This window comes from Homo sapiens, chromosome 4 (assembly GCF_000001405.40).
Source record: "Homo sapiens chromosome 4, GRCh38.p14 Primary Assembly".
Lineage (NCBI taxonomy): Eukaryota > Metazoa > Chordata > Mammalia > Primates > Hominidae > Homo > Homo sapiens.
In genome coordinates this window covers 114,541,419-114,565,000 of record NC_000004.12, presented here as the reverse complement: position 1 = coordinate 114,565,000, position 23,582 = coordinate 114,541,419, and the positions used below count along the sequence as shown (strand labels likewise).

At 36.0% G+C, this 23,582-nt stretch overlaps 1 long non-coding RNA gene across 1 annotated transcript, besides 2 other annotated features; it reads left to right on the top strand.

The window, feature by feature from the left end:
• Nucleotides 2,187-3,030: an enhancer, noted in NCBI's record as "OCT4-NANOG-H3K27ac hESC enhancer chr4:115483127-115483970 (GRCh37/hg19 assembly coordinates)". NCBI's record gives its function as "activates a minimal SCP1, AML or CMV promoter by ChIP-STARR-seq in naive and primed H9 embryonic stem cells {active_cell/tissue: H9 hESC(naive and primed)}" and the evidence as "EXISTENCE:reporter gene assay evidence [ECO:0000049][PMID:30033119]".
• LOC105377380 (uncharacterized) lies at nucleotides 6,275-18,090 on the top strand. Its single transcript, XR_939093.3, has 6 exons — nucleotides 6,275-6,629; nucleotides 9,370-9,452; nucleotides 10,050-10,183; nucleotides 13,460-13,523; nucleotides 15,118-15,454; nucleotides 15,942-18,090. It is a non-coding gene; the product is annotated as an uncharacterized LOC105377380 (long non-coding RNA).
• Nucleotides 22,698-23,199: an enhancer, noted in NCBI's record as "NANOG hESC enhancer chr4:115462958-115463459 (GRCh37/hg19 assembly coordinates)". NCBI's record gives its function as "activates a minimal SCP1, AML or CMV promoter by ChIP-STARR-seq in naive H9 embryonic stem cells {active_cell/tissue: H9 hESC(naive)}" and the evidence as "EXISTENCE:reporter gene assay evidence [ECO:0000049][PMID:30033119]".

The following is a 23,582-nucleotide window of genomic DNA, read 5'->3' as shown; positions in this document are numbered from 1 at the left end:
CAATGTGAAACAGATATTAATTAACCAGACAGACCTGAGCCACAACAATGCAAAACTATAGAACTGTACTTCTCAACATGTGTATATTGAGTCTTGACTCAGCACCCCACTGAGTTATTGAGAGGGACTGAAAAGAAGCATATGAGATTGTCCTAGTCATTTCAAGAGATGGGACTAAACATTCTCACTGTGCAATATGAAGATCTTTAATATGTTCCTTGAATATCAGCTTCTCCATTGTCACTAATGTTGCCAAACCTTCATTTGTAAATTCTTCGTTTTTAATTTTAAAAGGTAAGTAGTATGCCTCTCTTCTTGCAAACTTTGCCTGACTCACTTTAGTTCTCTTTCCTTCAGAAAATATCCTCTGAGCTCTTCTCAGGGTTGGTTGTTCATCTCTACTATATCCTTATACTTCTCCTAGTGTGGCCCTTATGCTGCTTTAATGTAATTGCTTAGTTGTTTGCATCCTTAAGCTAAACTGTAAATTATATAATGAAAAATATATGTACATAATGGGAAAATGATGAATAAATGAATGATAGTTGACTTTCAAATTCCTGTTGTTTGAAATGTGCATATTAATTTCCAGGCATGTTACTGAAAATCCAATACTTTCTAGTTCAGAAATTGAGAACTGAGCTACAATATAATCAAAAGATTTTACTTAAATAATCAAGTCACTGTCTTGCTATATGAAGCAAATAAAATGTGTAGCTGTTAACATTTGTTACATACTGCTATGCCTGGCAGCACGCTAAGCAGTTTACTTCGTTATCAAATTTACTTCTCACAGCAACTTCATGATGTTGACATTGTTCCCATATTATACCTGGGGCCAATTGATTTTATCAAGCATAAGTAGCCAAAGGTCATATAGCTATTAAATGTTGGGGTCAGGTGCTAAATTTAAGCAATCTACCAGTCCCAGCTCTTATCTTCCATGCAATATACTTCTTGTCACTATGCTACCTGCACTAATTATTAACCTATATCCCAGCTTCAAAATACCTTTCTCTCCTCAGCTGGCTTTGAAATTCTAAGGCTGGAAAGCCACATTTCTGCTTTTCTAGCTGGATCTATGCTAGGCTCTGCCAAGAGGGGATGCAAGAGGGTGACTGCAAGGCAGGAGGTGGAAGACAGGAGACTTTCCAGGCTGCTTCCCGTGGGTTTCCTGTATTCTTCTTATCTGGTCGTGCTCCCACTGGGCATATATTAGCTGGGCATAGTTCCCCACTGAAGCAGCAGAAGTCCTTTTTGTAATTGCATAAGAATGTAGTTTGTGGTTTTCCAACACTTGCAGAATCAGCTTTATCAAGCTCCTCTCCTCAGAGAGCCAGGTCCCACTCCCGCAGGAACCCTCCCCTAAGGTCCTCAATGTCAATGAATCACTGTTTGTTCTGACCTAATTAACAACTTCATGCATAGGAGCAGTCTCTTCTGAGTGGACATTGACCCACACCAGGTCATACATACAGCTATTAAGTGATATATTCAGAAACTAAAGTTGGGCCAGTCTCCCAACCACAGCTGTTATCTATTGTGAAAGATTCTTATCACTGTGCTAACATATGTGATATTCCACTTGTTTGTCATCATTTTCTAAATAAATAATAGTAGGAGGTAGAACAGCAAAGAAATAAATTAACAAAAACAAGTTTAAAGCTTAGAAACTCTCATATTTAAATCTATTGTTCATACAATCACATGGATTTCTTTAAACAGTATTTCCAATTCTAATATAGCCATATAGATAGATATAGAACTGGATATATGCCTATAACATAGCTAATACATAGCCATATATAAATAGATTAGCTAGATATATAGTGACTATATTATTAAAACATATAAAATGTAGCCAATATATCTCTCTATATACTCATATAGAGGGAGAGAAACAGATATCCACCTAGCTAGCAACTAATTTGGGCTTTCAGGTGTCTAAAGTGGTAGTCAGAAACATAACTTTTCACATCTACAATGGATAATTAGAATGTCTATACTTTTTTCTATCCAGAATAAATGCCATAAAGAAATTTGTGAGTTTTCTGTTTTCAGGTTTAAAACTACTAGATTGTTGTTTTTGCTGCTACTGCTCCTATTATTTTCCACACCACTGCAATTGTAAATATAAGTGAATTTTTTTTTTAAGTTCTTATTTGGAGAATTTTAACAAGTGATAGATATGACTTTCATTTGATCAGCAAACATTTTAATCACTTATATGCTAGGTACTGTGCCAAGTGCTAGTTTTATAATGCAAATAAGACAGAATATGCAGTTCCTGCCCTGCTGTTATGGTCTAACTGGGTTAAATATTTAAAACGTGAGTACTTTATAGAGTATTTAATGTTTATGTATTAGCTTTTGGGGTTATTTTTTGGAGGAAGAGTGAGAATAAGAAAGGACCTCTTAATATGCAAGATAGTGTGAAAGGAAAATAAACCTTGGAACCCCAAAATCACTGAGCTAAAGGGAAAAGTCAAGCTGGCAACTGCTTAGGGCAAACCTGCCTCACATTCTATTCAAAGTTAGCCCTCTGCTCACTGAGATAAATGCATATCTGATTGCCTCCTTTGAAAAGGCTAATTAGAAACTCAAAAGAATGCAGCCCTTTGTCTCTTATCTACCTATGACCTGGAAGTCCCCTCCCTACTTTGAGTTGTCCTGCCTTTGATTCCAGTTGCCTTGCCTTTTCGACTACTGATTGATGTCTCATGTTTCCTTAAAATGTATAAAACCAAGCTGTGCCCCAGCCACCTTGGGCACATGTTGTCAGGACCTCCTGAGGCTGTGGCACAGGCATGCATCCTTAACCATGGCAAAATAAACTTTCTGAATTGACTGGGACCTGTCTCAGATATTCAGGGTTCATTTGGTAACTATGAAGAGATTCTGAGTGGAGATGCCCCTGACCTTTGAAAAATCTATGGGTGCCTGGTACCATCTTGAGCTAACCTTATGGCTCAAACCAACAGGACAATTTGCCGAGGCCTGGAAGCACCCCCTCCAGAGAATCCCTATTCTCCCAAAATTTGGTTGAGATCTAATGTTTATTTTGCTGTACAACTCTTTTTTGTTTGTTTGTTTTTTGAGTTTTACTTGTTTCCAACAAGGAAGGCAAGTTTTCCTCCCTCCATTGATACAGAAGGCAGGGCTCCTTGCCAAACTCCACCCTCAAACCTGGAACCTCAGCCCTAAGTGAAAACAGCTGACCCTGATACAGAAGGGCTGGGCTCCTGGCTACACTCCACGCTCAAGCCTGGGACCTAGGCCTTAAGTGAAAGCAACTGACCCCATTTTTCCAAATGATTGCCTTTTTGACCCACCCTGCCCCCTATCCTGTGCCCATAAAAACCAGCCCAGCTGGCAGAAGAAAGCTACAGCAACACAAGCAGCTGAGCCTCAGGGATACAAACTGCTGAATGTCGGGGATAAAAGTGACTGAGCAGTGAGCAGAGAGGTAACTGAACATTGGAGACTATGGATAAGGATGGCTAACTTCAGATGGTGCAGTTTTGGAGGGGAGCCTGGCCAGAGATGGCTGGGCTTCAGGGAAAAATTACCTTCTTCCTGCACCATCTCCTAAGGCTAATGAGAAGCTCAAAAGAATGCAGCTATTTGTCTCTCAAGTACCTGTGACTTGGAAGCCCCCTTCCCAGTTCCAGCTGTCCCATTTTACATATGTTGACTGATGCCACGTCTCCCTAAAATGTATAAAACCAAGCCTCTTGAGGCTGTGTCACGGGCATGCGTCTTCAACCTTGGAAAAATAAACTTTCTAAATTAACTGAGACCTGTCTCACATTTTCAGGGTTTACAAATTTACTGTTAGCTAAATCTTCTGAGTTATTGGCAAAAATACCTATGTATTTAACTTTGAGGGTCTTACTTAGGTTTAGGTAAGCACCTGATGTTCACAGACTACTAAAAATGTGTTTAACAAGGAGGTAACTAACTTTAAATGATAGTGTCTAATATCTCAGTTTACGGAAGTAATCTAGATAAACTGATAAAAGTAAAAGAATTGAGTACAGTGAATGGGATAACACTTTAGGTAAACTTTTTATTTAAATTAAAATCTTAAAACATTTTGATGCTCATTTAATATCTGCATCATTTCCAGTTAAAGGGTTATGATATGGGGAACCATGTTTCTAAAATTGTGGATTTATTCTTATCTATTAATGCCCATATCTGATGGTTCAGGATTTCTTGCTTTTTAGGGTTGCACTAAAATTTTAGTTTACTAAGGAAATGAATTCTACTTAATACATAATTCTGTATATCAAATGTGTCAGAAAAGGTTATGTTATTAGTGAGGAAAAGAATAATTTTGTCTAATTCAAAAGTTACCTAATAGTTCAAATTACCGATTTGAAAAGGTTGTTTATGAAACCATGTAGTAACAAACCAGAAGGTGGGGAGAAAGATGTGGGAAATGTTTAGATTATAAAATACTCTTTAAAACCCAGTAGAGAATTGGAGACATTTGGCTAATTAACATTTTCATAGTTAAAGCTCTGAGTCTTGATTAAAGTAAAATAAGAAGTATTGTTAAAAAAAAAAAGCATCAGCAGTTTGGCAATTCTTTTTGTAGCAATTCAAATTTCATATACATGCTTGCGTTGCTTTGCACTATGTTTACTGTTTTGCGTGGATAGTGCCGGCACTGGAGTACTTATTGGTCATGTACCTAAAATGAATTTCTTAATTGCACAGGATTGTATGATATTGGTAAACTTGAGGATATTGAATTGTGTATTAGGAATAAAATATTCATTATGTGGGTTTTTAAGGGCCCTGGATAACACTATAGCCTCCAGGGTAGATTGAGTAGGAAAAATTTAGGGTCGGTTTCCTATTTGTTTTGGCTACCAGTTTTCATTCATTTGCTGTTTATTCTTTGGCTTTGCCTATGTATGCAGATATAAAACCATATATATATGGTTTTAGGCTTCCTGACACTTTCTGTATAAAACCATATATATATGGTTTTATATCTGTGTATGTGTGTGTATGTGTGTATATATATATATATATATATATTTAGTTTCCAGTGGAAGGCCTTTATTTGGTTCTTTAATAGATATTTTGTTTCCTATGCATTTCTAGCAAGTCATCATTTGTTCCACTTATCTGGAATTCCTAGGCTACCTTCATCAGGCCCCCTAGGTATTGATGGAACACACCAGCTTTTTAACCTTAAACTAACTTTTTGGATTTTAGGCTTCCTGATACTTTAAGGGTGTTGAGTATACTCTTGTAAACATAATTTGAGTCATATTTCTCTCTAATTTCTCCAAAATTTGTAAACTATTTGTGAATATTCTTAATTCATGGCAATGTATTTGTTTGCATATAGTTTAGCAGGGTTGCTAAGGCTGCTCAGGGAGAGAGAACTCAGAAACCTGGCATGCTGGCAAAAGGGTAAAAATTTCTTACCAGTCAGACTCTGGCCTCTCTCTCTCTGTGCAAACTGGATAAATAAATAATGAAAGTTACTGTTAGTGTTTATCTCCTCTGTATAATTTTGATTAATTTAAAAAAAATTCTGAGGCTAATGTTAAACTGTAGTGAATATGTTGTGTTTTGTACGTCTTTCTATATTGCTCTGTTATAAAAAGGGACATCTTAGAATAAAATGCATGCCTATGACCTCATCGGCCCTCTGTTCAAGATGGCCCAGCAAACTGGCCCACCACATTCTTGGGAGATTGACCTTGTAACCATGTGGCTGTGCTTTCTCTTTTTACAATGGTAACCGGGTTAGGGTTCAATTTCTGACTTAGGGAACAATTCCTTTATCTTCTGTCTATATTTAAATGTGTTATATGTGTAATATGAAAGAACTATAATTAATTGGTTTAATAATAAGAGCTTCAATCAAATATTTTGTCCGAAAAGTGTAATGCCTTTTATTTAGTTCCTGTGACTTAAGTAATCTTTAAAAAAGTTTTAAAGATTATTGGTAAAATAAAAATCTTCAAAAATGTAAACATTTCATTTAAATATGCAGATCAGATATTAGGTTTGCTAAATGCTTTAAGGTCATAAACTACTTCTTTGACTTTTAAAAAATTGTTCAATGTATTTTGGAGCATTTGATTTTAAATAAAGCCTGGGGACATAGGAAATTAGCCATGCCCCCTAGCTATGCAGAGAAGGTTACCAAAAAAAAGAGGCTTTATATAAGAAAGGATCTTGTATGGTAAATTTTTGTCTTAAAGTAAAATAACTGGTTGTTTAAAAGAGGGATGTTTAGGACAAGTCAGAAAGTCCAAGCATGTCATGGATAGTCTATGTAAGTTGTGAAAGAATTTATGAAAGAGAGTTTATGCAAGAAATGTACAATTTAAAGGTCATTTGGCCTCCTGAATGCTCAAAAATGTCACTATGACTCTTAACTGTACAACATGCCTGCTTTACAGCTAGGTAAAGCCTGGGACACTTGGAGGTAGACACTGGAAAGAGTCAGAACTTATCTGCACTTCTGTCTGAGTCCTAGGCTCCACAACTAATACATACTTCAAGTCCCAAACTTAACAAGGTTTTGGCCAAAAGTAAAAGTCGCTAAGCGTTAACATTGTTATTGAGACTACTGAAGAAACAGTTTTACATGCAAGGTATGTAAAAAAAGTGAAATGTGATTTAGTAAAAGATTATAAGAAGGCATGGGAATGTGGATTTTTTTTGTTGTTGTTTTTGCCTAAAGGGTTAAAGGATTGTTTTAAGTTAGGATAAAGCTAAAGGTTTGAACAAGTTGTGGAAGGGTTGTAAAAAAAAATTAATCTTGTAAAACACTATGTGTATGAACATACTGACTAAATTTAAAGGGTCATTTTCTGGTTTCTGCATAAATTGAACATTGAAATAAAAGCACAAACAGGGTTTTCTTAAAGCACTGATCTTTAACAAAAATTTGTAAAGGCTTATAAAAGGTTTATGAGAATCTCACCTTATGATGATACTGATTAAAATTGGAAAGATTTGTCTATAGGGTTATTAAAAATTGGAGCTGACATTAATGGTACACTAATGCAAGGGTAAAATTTGGCTTTCTCTCTTGAACAAGATTTTCATGTAATATTAAAAGATAATGAAATATTTTTGTTTGGCTTTTGAATAAAATACCAAAAAATTAAATAAAAGGAAAGGCAAGAGACCAATTATTTGGAAAGCTAGGTCTTCTTCCCCTATCAATGAGTAAAGGTTTTTGCCTTTTAAATTTTTGAGTCATCATTTTGGCTAAATGAATGTCTTATGGTAACCTGGAATTCTATTTCATAATATCAATGTTTTAAACGTTTAACATATTTGATAGGCCTCCCAAAATCAAATTTCATCTTCAAAATAGCCTTTTCTGACTTCTAACTTTGAGATGCTGCAGAAGGCTCTTGAAATATCCAAAAGAGAGGTAAATAGGATTACTTGACATGTTATAAGGGAAGCATTGTCCAAAAAAAAGTTTAATCTTCATTTTATATTTTAGTCAATGATATTAATATATGTTACAAAATCATAAGGATTTCTTAAATTCTAATATGTCTGAGTATATGCTATCAATTATAATTATGGTTATTATATTAAGTTATTGTAAACTACAGAAATAACCAATTTCCTTGTATAAAGCTACTAATCCAAGTAGAACAAACAATTAATTGAATACCAAGAAAATATGTCATCAGATTTTCATGTTTTACCAGCAGATATGGAAATTGTTTAGATATACAATTTGAACTCCATGGTCTAGGTCAAATTACCTTGACAATCCATCAGTTATCAGTGCTATGCACCTAACTTGGTAAAACAACTGGTATTCAGGAGGATATAAGTCTAATGTTATTTAAACATGGACTCATGGAGAACCAGGATGATCACCTTGTCCTTCCTGAGTCCTTAAAGCTTTTGTTATTAAAAGTTCTACATTCCATGATTCATCATGGAAAAAATAAAATCCAAATTGAATATATTTTTGTGGTTACTTATCATTTGTTAAAATAGTTGATAACCAATGTTTGGTCTCATCTTCCTGGGAAAACAATTAAAGCTTCAGGTACATTTGGTCACCTGATGGATGATTTAAACATTTTATATACGGATTTCATTCAATTGACATTTTCAGTGCATGTTTTCTTGTTGTATAAAAGCTTTCCCATGCAAGAAGGCTGATGTTGGCTGGGCATGGTGGCTCACGCCTGTAATCCTAGCACTTCGGGAGGCTGAGGCAGGAGGATCACAAGGTCAGGAGATCAAGACCATCCTGGCTAACATGGTGAAACCCCATCTCTACTAAAAATACAAAAAATTAGCTGGGTCTCCTGGCACACATCTATAGTTCCAGCTACTGGGGAGGCTGAGGGAGGAGAATTGCTTGAACCCAGGAGGTGGAGGTTGCAGTGTGAGCCAAGACCGCACCATTGCACTCCAGCCTGGGAGACAGAGTGAGACTTCATCTAAAAAAAAAAAAAAAAAAAAAAGACTGATGTTATAACAGTAAATTATTATGCTACAATGTATTTTTGTCAAATAAAGAAGCCTCTTATGACTGAGGACAATCAACCCCTTCACAATCTAGAACCCAAAGATTATATCTTCTGAGAACATCAGAGAAAGACTGTCCTTGATATCCACAATACGGCAAAACTTCAGGACCTTAAACCTTGGGTTCATAATCTCACAATTGAGCAGTGTCCCATCACACTCTTGGGACTGTACACCCCCTGAAACCCTTAAGGTAAAGCTAATCAGGAAAGTTACTCCCCAGAAAAGATGGCATCCTTGATCTGAACAGCTTTTCCCAAGATCATGGGTCAAGACTTCTCTACTATTAAGAGACTTATCTTTGAATTTTTTTTCCTTGCTTATGCCTCTATGAACAATAGAAGTGGAAAAACGTGTCTGTTATGTGGGCTTATGGGGTAGACTTTTATTTGTGAAGGAGTTTTCAGCCAGCCTATATATGGATAACCTTATATATTATAATCAATCAGAAACAGAACATTGGTTCACTCCTCTAAACTCATATTATGGGTTAAAGAGCACATTGCCAAGAGGCCTTCACTCTTCTAGAAGGGCATCATTTGTTAGGTCCTTTTTCCATAGTTTGGAATAAAAGAAGCAATGATTAGAAATCTATCCTTTGTGATAGGCTTTATAGAAGATTCTACTGTAAAAGCTACAGTTACACAACAGGTTTTAAATTCTCTTGTGAAGGTTATGATAGAATTGTCTGAACAGAGAGGTATCTGTGCAGCTGCTGGTACTCATGGCGTATGGAGAAAACATTAGATATTACAGAGATTCAGTCATAGTGTACAAAGTAAATGACTTTGTAACTTTATTTTATTCTCTTCATTTACATAGATTGTACAACAAATAATGAATGGAAAACTCTAAAGGGTATTTAAACCCCAGAAAACGGATTAATGAAGCCACTGCTTAGTTAAGTGAGTAGACTCTTTATTTAGCTCATTCTTTGATCTATTTGATTTTAGGAGGTTTGGTTTATAGAGACCCTGGGTAAGAAGCATACTCCAAACTCTTGGTATTATCCTAGTGATAATCATAATAATAGTCTCACTGGTGCACTGTATTCTCTCAAAGATTTTAAATGTTTGCATACAATGGCCTCTAGAATGTCAAATGGTCTCTCTTTAACTAGAATGACAAGAGCTGAAAGAAATGTGTGACCATGAGGACGCTATAATCTATGAATGACATGCTGAGACCAGAGGCCCTAAGTTTTGGTCACACTCTCACCTAAGTGAGAACGTGACCAAAAAGGGGAAATTTTTTAAAACAATTATGAGAGGTCATTGTTTTGGGCTGAGATCATGCGCTAGGCCCCAACACACCAAACCTAAACCAAAATGGAGTTGTTCATGCTAAGACTTTAAGGAAAGACATAGATCCTAGAACAGACCACAGACTAGATTTTGCTTTTCTCCTGCAAATCTCTATAACAAACATTCCTGACAGCATAGGTATCCACTCCCTTAAGTCTCCATTAAATTTTTTAACCAAATTCAATTCCTCTCACCTAGAGACCATCAAGCTTCAGATGATCATGCAACAAGTGTTCCAGCCAGTTCCGGGTGAAGTCACCACCTGTGGCCATCAAGGAACTACCCTGACTCCACTAGACAGGGCAGGGCAAGAGTTTCATGATCCCCAATAGGTAGGTACTATACCCCAAGCCAGCATGAAGCTGTTACAGAAGGAAGACCATCAGTTTTTCCATCTTCCATAAAGATTTATGGGGATCACATCTCTCAGGGGGAAAAAGAGGCAGGAGATTAGGGTCTGGAGGCAGAGAACATAAGGTCAATTCACAATGACTTCCTAAAACTGATTTAAATGGAAACAGTTTTGATTTACATGGAAACCCTTCAGCTAAGACAGGAAATACCTTCTTCATTTACATAGGGCATACACCAAGTAAATGACTTTGTAATTTTACTTCATCCTCTTCATTTACATAGGTTGTACAACAAGTAAACAATGGAAAATTCTAGAGGACATTTAAACCCCAGAAAATTCTGTAATGGGTCTCTTGAGCCCCTGTGCTTAGGCCTGCTCCCACCCTGTGGAATGTACTTTTTTTTTTCTTTTCTTTTTTTTTTTTTTTTTTGAGACAGAGTCTCGCTCTGTCACCCAGGCTGGAGTGCAGTGGCACAATCTCGGCTCACTGACTGCAAGCTCTGCCTCCCAGGTTCACAGCATTCTCCTGCCTCAACCTCCTGAGTAGCTGGGACTACAGGCGCCTGCCGCCACGCCTGGCTAATTTTTTGTATTTTTAGTAGAGATGGGGTTTCACCATGGTCTCAATCTCCTGACCTCGTGATCCGCCCGCCTGAGACTCCCAAAGTGCTGGGATTACAGTCGTGAGCCACTGCGCCCAGCCTCTTTGTTTTCAGTAAATCTCTGCTGTTGTTGCTTCATGCTTTCCTTGCTTTGTTTGTACTTTTTGTCCAGTTCCTTGTTCAAGAAATCTCTGCTGTTTTTGCTTCATGCTTTCCTTGCTTTATGCTTTCCTTGCTTTGTTTGTGCATTTTGTCCACTTCCTTGTTCAAGATGCCAAGAACCTGGACACCTTCAACTAGTAACACCAGCACACTTCAATGCACTTCACAAAAGCCCTAGGCCACAGCTCAGTTCTTTCTCTTAAGAAAAGAAAGAAAGAAAAAGTGGGAAACAAATGATCTAAGAATGATAATGAGAATGACCCCTTTTCACCATTCCATTAGTTTTATGGCACCTCTACTTGCTAGAGTCAGTGTAAAATGGAAATATTAAGGTCTTTGTGCACATTTACTTCAAGAAAAAAGAGCACTGAAGTCAACCTGTACACTGTAGAGTTCCTAAGCTCTCTTTTTCTCTATTTTCTTTTCTGCCTACTTTAAAGCTGCTGTTACTTTGCTACTGAGATAAAAATTACTATTGGGACCCAACTTTTTTTTTTTTTTCTTGCAAGCTGATAAATTTGTATTAATATCTCATGGCTAGATTTCTGAAATAAAAGTCATAAGATCTTTCTGTGTGAGTGTGTGTGTGTATATATATCTTTAAAATGACTTTATATTTTTTTAAGACAGGGTCTCACTCTGTTGCCCAGACTGGAGTGCAGTGGCATGGTCTCGGCTCACCACAACCTCTGCCTCCCAGGCTCAAGCAATTCTCCCATCTCAGCCTCCTGAGTAGCTGGTATTACAGGCTTGCACCACTACTGCCCAGCTAATTTTTGTATTTTTAGTGGAGATAAGGTTTCACCATGCTGGCCAGACTTGTCTTGAACTGCTGACCTCAGATGATCCACCTGCCTCAGCATCCCAAAGTGCTGTGATTATAGGCATGAGCCACTGCGCCTGGCTGATTTACTTAACTTTATGTTTAACTGGCAATTAAATCAGTTCTAATTTCCCTCTAGCACATTTTTCTTCCTGTAGTTTGATATGTAAATTTTCCTATCTGATTTTTCACCTGAGAGTTGCCTCCTTCAATATACAAATTCAGGGTTATTTAGCTGTCAATTGCCTAGGGTAATGAAACAGGTTATCAAGAATTTGAAAGTCTACAATAAAAAAAGGTCTTATGAATCTTTAAGATGTTCTTCTATCACCATGTCTAATACATCTATGTATCTATGTATTGTGTGCACAATGCTTCACTACTGAAAATATATTAAAAAGCTCTAATTAATTGGCTTAAGAAAAAGTACTTAAATACTTTATCGGGAACAGAGAAAAGACTAGTCAAATGCTTTTTCAAGCTTGTATGACTGAATTGAAATCTTTAATAAATAAGCTAGCTTGAAAATTATTTGTGAAGTAATATTAGAAGTGTCTTAAAAATTGCCAGCATACATTTTATTTGCATTTATTGATAAAGTGATTTCATACTTATCTCTGCCAAATACTACATTTTACAATAGTGATTTTATCTCTATGAGCAATTTGAGAAGATTTGGAGTCTTGAAGTCTCCAGCTGCATGAGTCCTGGACCATAATTTCTAATCTCATGGCTTTAGGCAGTTTAGCCCCCAGGCAGGTAGGGGGTTTGTTTTGGGAAAGAACTGTTATCATCTTTGTTTCAAAGCTAACTATAAACTAGTTCCTCCCAAAGTTAGTTTGGCCTACACCCAGGAATGAACAAGGACAGCTTAGAGGTTGGAAGCAAGATGGAGTCAGTTAGGTGAGATCTCTTTCACTGTATCTGTTATAATTTTACAATGGTGGTGTCATAACTTTAAATGATGACTATCTCAGTTTTCATAAATAAGTAAACTATTAAAATACAATAAGTAAATGTAATTGGAAAGATAACTGTAGACAAACTTGCCATAATTTATAATCTAAAGTTAAATTAAATAATTGATATTTCATTAATTGGGTATTTTCCAATAACATATTGTAGGAAAACATTCTTTTTCTAAAAAAAAGTGTGTCCATTTTTAAAAGTTGAATAATTTTTGTTAAATTCAAAGATTACTTAAAGGTTATGTATAAAACAAGGTAAAAGGAACCAGGAAATAAGAGATATAAAGAAAGTTATAGAAATAAAGAGGTATTTTTTTGGTAAGAAAGCTTAAAGAAAATTAATTTTATATGAGAAATAATCTTGTATGCTAAATTTTACCCTAGAATAAAATGATTGTTTGTGGAAGAAAGAGGGATCTTCAACACAAACAAGGAAGTCCAGGCAGGTCATGAATGGTCTGTGTGAGTCTTAATGAGAAGATTTATGAAAAAAACTTTTATATGATCAAGTTGTCTATAATTAAAGGGAAATTATAATATTTCTAGAGATTTAGTTTTGATTTAAAAACCTTATACACTAAAGAATTGGTTCAAACTACAAAATTTTCTTAAGGTATTGCTTTATTCTTAATAAATTATAAGACATTATAATTTTTTTTACAATAAGTTCAACTTTTATTGTTTCTTGCTGTTTTTAGCTTTCTCTCCCCTTTTAAAAGGGCTGAAACAATAACTCTATACTTCAACTCATTTTCAGCTCTGGTAAGTGTTTTTTTGTTTCCTTCAGGTTCTAACTGTTTTGATGCTATCAAAGAAAAAAAAAAGTTTTATCTTGAAAGTCTAAAGGAAATGTTTCCTTCCAACATAATATTCCTCTTAGAGAATAGCAGTCGCACTGCAGAAGGTCTCTTCTTTGCCTTTGGGTAACTGGCCTAATAAACACATACGCTTTATTGAAATAATTTCTATGTCATTAATACTAAGTTTGATGGGCTTAGAAAAGAACAGATTAAAAAATGTTAATTAAAGTTATTACATTCATGTAACTTTTTGTATGTGCTTTTAAAGTCCTTGTACCATTAAGATACAGGGCTTTGACTCCTGGGTCTAAAAAGGACACCAAGTCCTGCTAAATCTTAACATTGACAGCAGTTAAAGCTTTATCTTCAGACTTGGTAAATGATGCCAATAAAAATAAACTGTGTGAGACACAGGACCAGAAATTAAAGCTATTCAACTCCTCAAGTCCCAGGGACTCTCACAAAAGGGATGGGCACATGAAATTTTAAGGACCAATTATGAGAGATAAGTTTAGTTTCTCTATAAATTAACCATTAATGTCAAAAACACACTGATGCAACACCAGCATATGGGCCCCTATGTCAGATTAACAAGGTTTTCTTGAAGCATTAATCCTCTCTTTAATAAGGATTATAAAGGTTATAAAAGGTTTATAGAAATTACATCTTATGGTCAAAATGATTAAAATTTTATAGATTGTTTATAAAATTTTGAAAAACATTTAATTGGCCTCATGCTGTTTTTATTAGGGCTTAGTGTTTGGAAAATTAAATCTACTCTCTCAAAGAATAAAGGTTTTTGCCTTTTTTTTTCAAATCTTTGAGTTATCACTTTGGCAAAATGAGGAACTTGTTTTACAATGACCTGTGATCTTACTTTGTGATAATATCAAGCATCAAGCATTTTAAACCTTTAATATTTGAGAAACTTTCCAAAATCAAATGATAAATTATGTCTTTTTAAAGACATATCTCTTTAAGATATTAGGTTCCATAAAGTCCAAAAATTATATATTAGGATTATTTGGTATAAAAATCATACAGGAAGAATTTTAAATATGAAATGGTGTTTGGCTTTCTTTGGGCTGTATTTGTATAAATAGATTATTGGTATATGTTCCCAAGTTATGGGAAAATCCTTTAATTCTGATATGACTTAGTGTACACCATCAGTAATAATAATAATTGCTATGTTAAATTATTGTGTGCCACAGAGGTAACAAATTTCCTTGTCAGTTGTGTCCTTGACTGTGGCTGCCCTAAAACTTTTTGTCATTCACTGACAACTGTTGTTTTGTTTTGGTTCTCTTTAGAAGGTGATTTTATAATCTGCTATAAAACCCTAAGAGGTGTTCTTGAATGCAGTGTTCTGATAACTTTGGAAATTTTGACATTAGAATAGAAGAAAACCTTTCTGGACTCTCATGGAGAGCTGAAATGTTCATGAATATCAAGCAGAACAGGAGTTAACTGCATGAACTGAACTAATGGAAGACTGAAGTAGTCTTTTGACTTTTTTACTTAAATTGTTGCTGATCATTTGCTTTGTTTTGCAGAGTCAAGAAAACTTTTCTTTTGAGCTGTTGACAGCTTGTAGCAACAATATTTGGAGCATATTTATTTCTCTCTACCTGATTTCTCCAGAATTTTGAAACTATTTGTGAGTATTCTTAACTTAATGGGAATATAGTTATTTGCATAAGTGCAATAAAAATGTCTTTTTTTGCAACAGGAAACCGTTGGAGAAACTGGTTACCTTACCAAGGCTTTGGCTGGGATGGTCAACAAACTTGACTGGAAATAAACTTGACTTACAGAGACAAGAAAAACCCCTTGGGAAAACTACCCTCATACCTTGTCTACACAGTCCCTGTACAGGGTTCCTGACCTGTGGTAAGTAAAGACTGTCACTTTCTGACAGGCCTGGGAGCCCCAAGTTATCATGGGACCTTAAGAGGAGAGGAATTTACCTAGCTCACAGGTATTTGATGGTACAAATCCACAAAATAAGTCTTGTCTGAGATTTCTTCTATGTAACAAAGTTTCATCAAAGCCAATTAAAAAGCCCATGTGAAAAATGATTATTCCTGCTGCACTTTATACAAATAATCAGGCCAAGTATTATAAAGCAAATTGGTCCTACCATGATCTGTCTTTAGGAAAAATGAGAAACTGGAGAGAGAAAAATTGTTTCAAAAACTATAGTCTACCTGTTGTTAGATTCTATTCTCACCTAATGTTTTTATAATTTTTTATCATTTTCAACAGTTCAGAGTGAATTCTAATTTTTCTTGGCTATAAGTCTCCAAAATAATGTTTTCAATTTTTTTCTTCTTTCTTTCTCCCCATTTTTCCTAATTTTGAATCACTGAACACTAAGCTGTGTTTTCTTGAAGCCCTGCAAACTGAAGCTAGACAACTTAAACTTCAGAAGAAATAACAGCAACCTATTTACATATATAAGCTACTTTCATACCTGACTGGTGATGTATGGACATCAGAGTAATATGGCCTATATCAGTTTTTCATGATTGTTGGTTTTTTATTGTTGTTTTTTCTCCCTACCTCTTCTTATTTTCTCTTCCTAGGACGTGAGACTTCACAACCTGCTAAAAATGAGCTTCCCTAATAATATGGGACCTACCTGTCTAGGAACAAACCATCCTAGCCATTAAAGATTAGATGAAACCTGAGACCAGAGATTCATTTTCTTCTAAAATACTTTCTCCGAAAGAGTCTTAAAAAGACAAGGGGAGAAATGTAAAAGGAAAATAAATCTTGGGACCCCCAACTCACTGAGCCAAAGGGAAAAGTCAAGCTGGGAACTGCTTAGGGCAAACCTGCCTCACATTCTATTCCAAGTAATCCCTCTGCTCACTGAGGGAAGTGCATATCTGATTGCCTCCTTTGGAAAGGCTAATTAGAAACTCAAAAGTGTGCAGCTGGTTGTCTCTTATCTTCCTATGATCTGAAAGTCCCCTCCCTAGTTCAAGTTGTCTCACCTTTGCTTCCAGTTGTCCCACCATTTTGGACTGAACCAGTGTTCATCTTTCATATATTGTTTGATCTCTCATGTCTTCCTAAAATGTATAAAACCAAGCTGTGTCCCAACCACCTTGAGCATATGTTATCAGGACCTCCAGAGTCTTTGTCACAGGCACATGTCCTTAACCTTGGCAAAATAAACTTTCTCCGTTGACTGGGAGCTGTCTCAGATATTTGGAGTTCACAATACAAATCAAAATTTTAAGATTTATTTTCTAGCAAATGGATTTATTATTTCAATCAAGTTTCTAACTTACACAAAAACCTCAAGAAGACCAAGGAGCTAAAAAGTGACTATGTGTCAATAGTCTACTTTCCTTAGTTTTTTATGCTATGCCCCTAAACTTAAATGTCTATAACATCACCTATATTTGTTGATAACAGGATGCAATTACACTGAGTTATGACTCATATCAACTTTTCTTATATATAGTTCTCATGTCCACACACTAAACACTTTGAAAGGCTTTCTTTAGTTTTGCTGTGAAGTGGCTTGGTTTCATGCTATGACTGGAAGGAAATGAGAGCAGGATATTATTTGCCCCTTGGGCTCCTACAATTCATTGTTTTCTCTTGCTTCTCATTCCACACAGTTTTTAAAGCTGTAGTTTGCAACTTTGGTGTACCCAGGAATCACACAGGAGGTTTCTTAGAATTGGAAATTTCTGAGCTCCACTTTCAGATAATTTGACTCATTAGGCCTGGGGTGCATTTCAAGAATCTGCATTTTTAAGATGAATTAAGGATAATAAATTTCTGATGCACCAGAATCATTGCTTGGAAGATTAACTAGATGCAGTAGAGTGAGTGTGAACCGGAAGATAGGTTTTATGAGGTCAGGATCTATTTATCTACATCCGGATTGGGTTGTAAAACTTTTAACAAACCTCCTGGGAAATGTTTATAATTTCCAGGAGTAGGGAACTAGAACCTACAAAGATGGGGAGATAAACAGAGGTGAATAAAAGATAGGGAGATAAAACAGAGGTGAATGAAAGGATTGAAAGATAACATTGAGGGCTTATCATAAAGACAACCAATCTAAATGCATGCTTTTTGTAAAGATTATTTAGAACCAAGGTACTAGTACATTTCGTTGAGTGTACCTTGAACTAAGAATTGGCAAAAAGGTTAGACTTAGGGGAAAAAAGAATCTGAGATGTCACTGAGTGTACAGTTGAAATGTTGATCTATGTGTTTTAGGCTTCATAGGGATAGAAAAGAAAAATAAGCTTGGGGGAAAAAAATGGTTGAAAGGCTTTTGGCCCTAAAAATAACGAGGGTTGAATTTACTGGGAGACTTGAAAGAGCAAGAGGTTATGGTTCAAAATTTCAGACATCAAGATTTCTGTAGTATGGTGGATTCTGAATTTATTTAGATGTGAATGCCATAAAAAATGACCTAGTTTTTTTGGCCTTATTTCCTTCAAATCCATGATTACTGCCAAGATGTACTTTCTAAAATAAAAGTCTGATTATACTTTTCTGTGGTGTCACTTTCCTGACTGTCTGCTGCCTAAGATATGTCAAAACCCTTACCATGGCATTTGGAGTCCTTCATTATTGCCTGCAAACATTATATACTTAACACTGTACTGCCTACACATCCTTGAAAATATTCACTCATGTTTCACCTTTGATTATGTAGTTACCTTTGCCAGGTCTATCTGGCAAAATGGGAAACCATTTTAGTTAGTTTTTAAACCTCTTCAGGAAGGTTTTAATAAAATACTCCTCCTTTCAATGTCCATTACACACATTAGTTTACTTTTTTCCTCCTCTTTTCCACTTTGATAACTTGTATGTGCTTTTGTCCTTGATCTTAATGGTACAGGGTAAGGGGCACAAACCAAATATAAGCAGAGGGCATGCATTTAACATAAATACCAAAATTAAATAGGATGAAAGACAATTAATGCTAAGGTGCTTGTATAGTAATGAAGTGTAATGCCATTAAAACTTTTTTAAGACGTTGTTGCCATAACAAAACAATCAAAACACATCCAAGGCACATGTGGTCCTCCTCTGCTACACAGGTCATAGCAAAACTAAAAATGAAAGGGCGGTGTCAAAGTATCAAATAAGATTCTATGGTGAAGGTGCGTGCATCAGAAAGACAATTTAAATGTGAGGTGGGGGACAATGGTATATGTAAACACTAGCGGGGCCAGATGAATTTAGTATTTTCGGATAACAGTGTCCGCTATGTATGTCTCTTATCCGAAGAAGACTAGTGACAAAAATTCATTACCCAGCTAGGAGCTGAAAATGCACTTTGAACTGAGATGTAAAGACCTATGGAGTCCAACTGTCACTTTGTGGCTCTCCCATGATACTGGCCTTCACAATGTTTGAAAAACTGGCCATGTCCTTTTCCCCAAAGTTATAAACCATCTTTTGTGACTTATTTCTCAGCTTATAAATTAGTTAAAATCAGCCTAAAAGAGAGACCTTTAAGAATTTGACAAGAGAAGCAAGTTCTCCAGAAGTCCTTTCAGCTGCATCAGTGAAAACTTTAATTATTATCTATATTCTAGTAGCTCATAAATCTCCATCTCTAACCAAGATTTCGCTCATGAACTTCAGAGGTTTACATCCACCTTCCACCTTGCCATCTCTCATATGACCCGTGGGCATATTAAACTTATGCTCAAAATGGAATCTGTCATTTCTCCCTTCATTACCAAAATCAAAGACAAAACATTGCTTTTCTTGGTGATTCATCTAGCTTCCCAGTGCAGAAAGCTATGGGTCATCTTGGAAAACATTATTCTCCCTCTTTCTTATTTAACCAGTCACAAAGCTTTATCAATTTCTTTTCCTGTCTCTCAAGTCCATCCCCAATGACATAATCACTGTTTTCTCAGGTAACTGATAGATTTACCTCTACTCTTTTCCAGTCTGTTCCTTACATTGTAAGCAAAATGATTTTTCTAAAATGCAACCACGGCTTTAAACATTTCTCTATCTCCTGCTACTCTTAGGATGAAGGTAAGACTCCCCAGTGTGGCCAAAAAAACCTGCTTGATTTATCCCCTGGCTAACTCTCTAGAGCCTGTTCTTCTATTCCCTCTCTCACCTCTCAGGTATTTGCCCTTTCATTGGTTCAACAAACACTGAGTGCCTACTATGTGCCAAAAAGTGGGGTGAACAAAGCAGGACATGAGGAGATAGAATTTTTTTAAAATCACATAAATATAGAATCACACTTATTAAGTTTTTGTTTAAAAAAATAAAAGTAGAGGATACATTTAAATAGTATTAGTGAATGACCTGATTTAGATTGGTTATCAGGGACCCTGATCCTGATACTCCAGCACAGCTTTCCTGAAAAGAGCTAGGTTCTGCACATGTGGGACTTTTCCTTGTCCATCACTTTTCTACAGCTTACCTATGTCTCAGCCTATATGGTAGTTTTTTCAGGCAGCCATCCCTGAGACTCAGAGCCCGGGTGTGGTGCTTCTCCATCCACCGCAGTTTCCTCATTCTTTGTATTGTAGTGGGTTACTTTCCTATGGTTTAGTGGTTTAGCTGATTCAGGGACTCTCCCTGTTTTTGCCACATTGAATCCTTAGCTTCCAGCACCATGGCTGTTACAGAGCAGATTCTCCGCAAACATTCCTTGGATCAATAAATGGCAGAATGTTTCTATCACTGACAGAATTAAATAAAATGCTGAAGAACTAATGCTCATGAAAATTCTGCCCCTTTATGACTAACCCCAAAAGATTAAATCTTAAGATCTTTTTGTTTTCCAATTTGCCTAAACATCAACCCTATTAATTATTCGAAATATGTTAAGTGCCTGACAACTGCAAGAGGGTAGAAGATTGCAAGTTGTTCAAATAAATAGATCTAAAGAAGTTACTACGTAGAAATCTAAGACTCCATGACTTTATTATAAATGTAATTGTGCTTTGTCTTCAGCTTCATCTGCTGAAGGCCATCTCCAGTCCCACCCTACCCATATGGATCAGCAGTTTATGTCCTTATGGTCTGTTTGATCTCACATTAATCAACCAGAAACATTGCAATAAAAACCCATTGCAAACTTGACATATTACAGAAGAAACACATACATAACTTTGAAATATCATCTGAAATGACATTTGTGAACACTTGAAGAGGCTTCATGGAGACAGGTGGTACAATTTATACAGGTTATTTTATAAGTGGGCTAATAGTTGATGTCTATTTTTCACAAAAGAACCAGATGAAGTTTATAACTTAATGACCTCATTTCTGAATCCAGGTGTGTCATAAATAGAGCATATGATGCAAATTATGTTACCTATTGAGAACAGAGTAAACAAATTTATACAAAGCAGGCTGTTTCCATTATCTTAACATCACTTCTTGATTTACTAAGCCTATACAGGCACCAAGCTGCTTTATAACCTGCAATCACCTGGAACCCCGTGGAACTCTGCAGTTGATGACCCTCCCTCTTTTGGCCTTTCCTTTCCCCCAGTGTGCTGCACTTAGGAGCAGAAGATTTAGCATGACTATGTCGTGAGGTTAGGAGGAATGACCTGCTCGTCCCACCTCCCTGACTGCTCCGTGTATTTAGATGTGTGATGTATCTCTCAGAATTGTGATTAACACACATATAATTTCTTGCTAAGGAAAGTGGGAGACGATAATGTGACAAGATCAAGTTGAGCTTTGACAATGGTCTATTGAATTTTAAAACTTAAAGCCATTTTAAAGTAATAATTTCAAACAACATGCTCTTGCCTTAACCACTTATTTCTATGACTTTCTTCATGCTTTTTCCTGGAATGACTTTTTGTGCCCCTTCAACATCATCATGTTTTATATGCCTAAATCTTACCTACCTACCCTAGCTCAAATGCCAACTTCATCACAAAACCTTCTCAGATTTGCCCAACCAGATGTGATCTCTTCCTCAGAATTAGGTCCTAATTTCTGAGCTCTCCTATGGGTTAAATGTCTTCAAGTCTTTGTTCTGCATAGGTGTTCACAAGTATTTATTGGTTGAATAAAAAATTTTACTTAGATGATTAGGAAAAGTAGATAACCTCAAGAGTTCTAGAACATTGAGTTAAATCCTTGCATATAGAAATGAAATCATTCTCTGTAACTTTCTGCCACATTGAAGTGCTTGTATTTGGCTTATAGTTGAGAATACTTCTCTGATTTCATAGCTTTATTCTCTTTTCCTTATTTCTCTATATTGTTAAACAGTCCTGTTCACTGAATTGGCTGAGTTTGTTCCCTCCTGAAGTGATTTGTACTAACTATTCCCTGTATCTGGAATTCTCTTTTTCCAATGTGTTTCTTTTTTTTCTTTCTGCCTGGCTGGTGTTTTATAATCTGGGTGCCAGCCAGGTACACCTCTTTCAGAGAAGACTTACTCTGTACTCTATCCAATGTAGTCCTTTATCTCTAAAAGTGGTCAGTCGTACCACCTAGGTTTCATTTTCTTTATAGTATGTATAACTGACTGAATTTATCTTGCCTATTTTTTAAACTTGTTTTAATTATTTACTTTTCCAGGATGATTTTTCTCCTTTTATTAGATTGAAACCTCCATGAGAGAAGAAATACTGTCTTCCTTGTTGCTATATGTCCAGCTCCAAGAAAAGTGCATGGAAATGGAAGATGCTCAATATATATAACTGTGGAAAAAAATGAATGACTTCCAAATAGAAGGTTTTATGTATATTTTTAGTGAAAAGCATCAGGCCACACAAAAAGCACATGGTTTTATTTGTTGAAATTCCTTTGTGGTGGTGGCGTGGTCTAAATTCTCTGCCCTCTTGGAACTTCAGTCATAGCGTCTGAAACACTTTATTAAATATAGGTCACTTATTAAAGTCAGGTCAGGGCCTTGCTCATCTGTGCATCCTCAACATGTAACAATATATTAGTCAGGGTCCTGTAGAGGGACAGAGCTAATAGGATAGATGTCTATATAAAGGGGCATTTATTAAGGAGTATTGACTCACATGATCACAAGGTGAGGTCCCACAATAGGCTGTCTGCAAGCTGAGGAGCAAGGAAGCCACTCTGAGTCCGCAAACCTCAAAAGTAGGGAAGTCAACAGTGCAGGCTTCAGTCTGTGGTAGAAAGTCTTAAGAGTCCCAAAGCTGAAGAATTTGGAGTTCGATGTTTGAGGACAGGAAGCATCCAGCACCGGGGAAAGATGTAGGCTGGAAAACTAAGCCAGTCTAGTCTTTCCATGTTTCCTGTGCCTGCTTTTATCCTACCATTGCTGGCAGCTGATTAGATGGTGGCCACCCAGATTTAGGGTGGGTCTGCCTCTCCCATTCCACTGACAAATGTTAATTTCCTCTGGCAACACCCTCACAGACACACCCAGGAACAATACTTTGCATCCCTCAATCCAATCAAGTTGACACTCAATAGTTCCTGGTATTAAGTTGAGCTAATTAAGTAGAGATTAAATAAATATTGTTTGTTTTCAAACCCTGATTGTCTTTACATATGTATTTACACAATCCATAACAATAATAGCTACTATTTTTGGAATAGCTACTCACTAGGTAGTGTTTTATATTCTTTATCATGTTAATTCTATTAAATAACCCTTTGTAAACACCTATTTTAAAGATAAGGTAAGCTGAAAGTAAATGATTCTTTAGGACTGGATCCAGGTCTAATCTCCAAAATCCATAATCTCAATCAATCACTTTACCTGCTTTTACTGGAATACAAAAATTTCAAATGTACTTAACAGCTTACTTGAACATTAATGATTATCCCAAACTTTCCTATCCCAAAATATGCTTGACACTAATTTCCTTCATAGCAAATACTTATTATGTATTGTACTATGAATTTGTTTTTAATATCAAAACAAAATAAGTTTTTTGCTATACATCTAACCTGCTGTCTTTTTTATAGTTTAATAAAAACAGCTTTATATTTTTTGTTTCTGTGAAAAATAATGTAATTTTTTAAAAATCAAATAGAGAAGATATGATGAAGA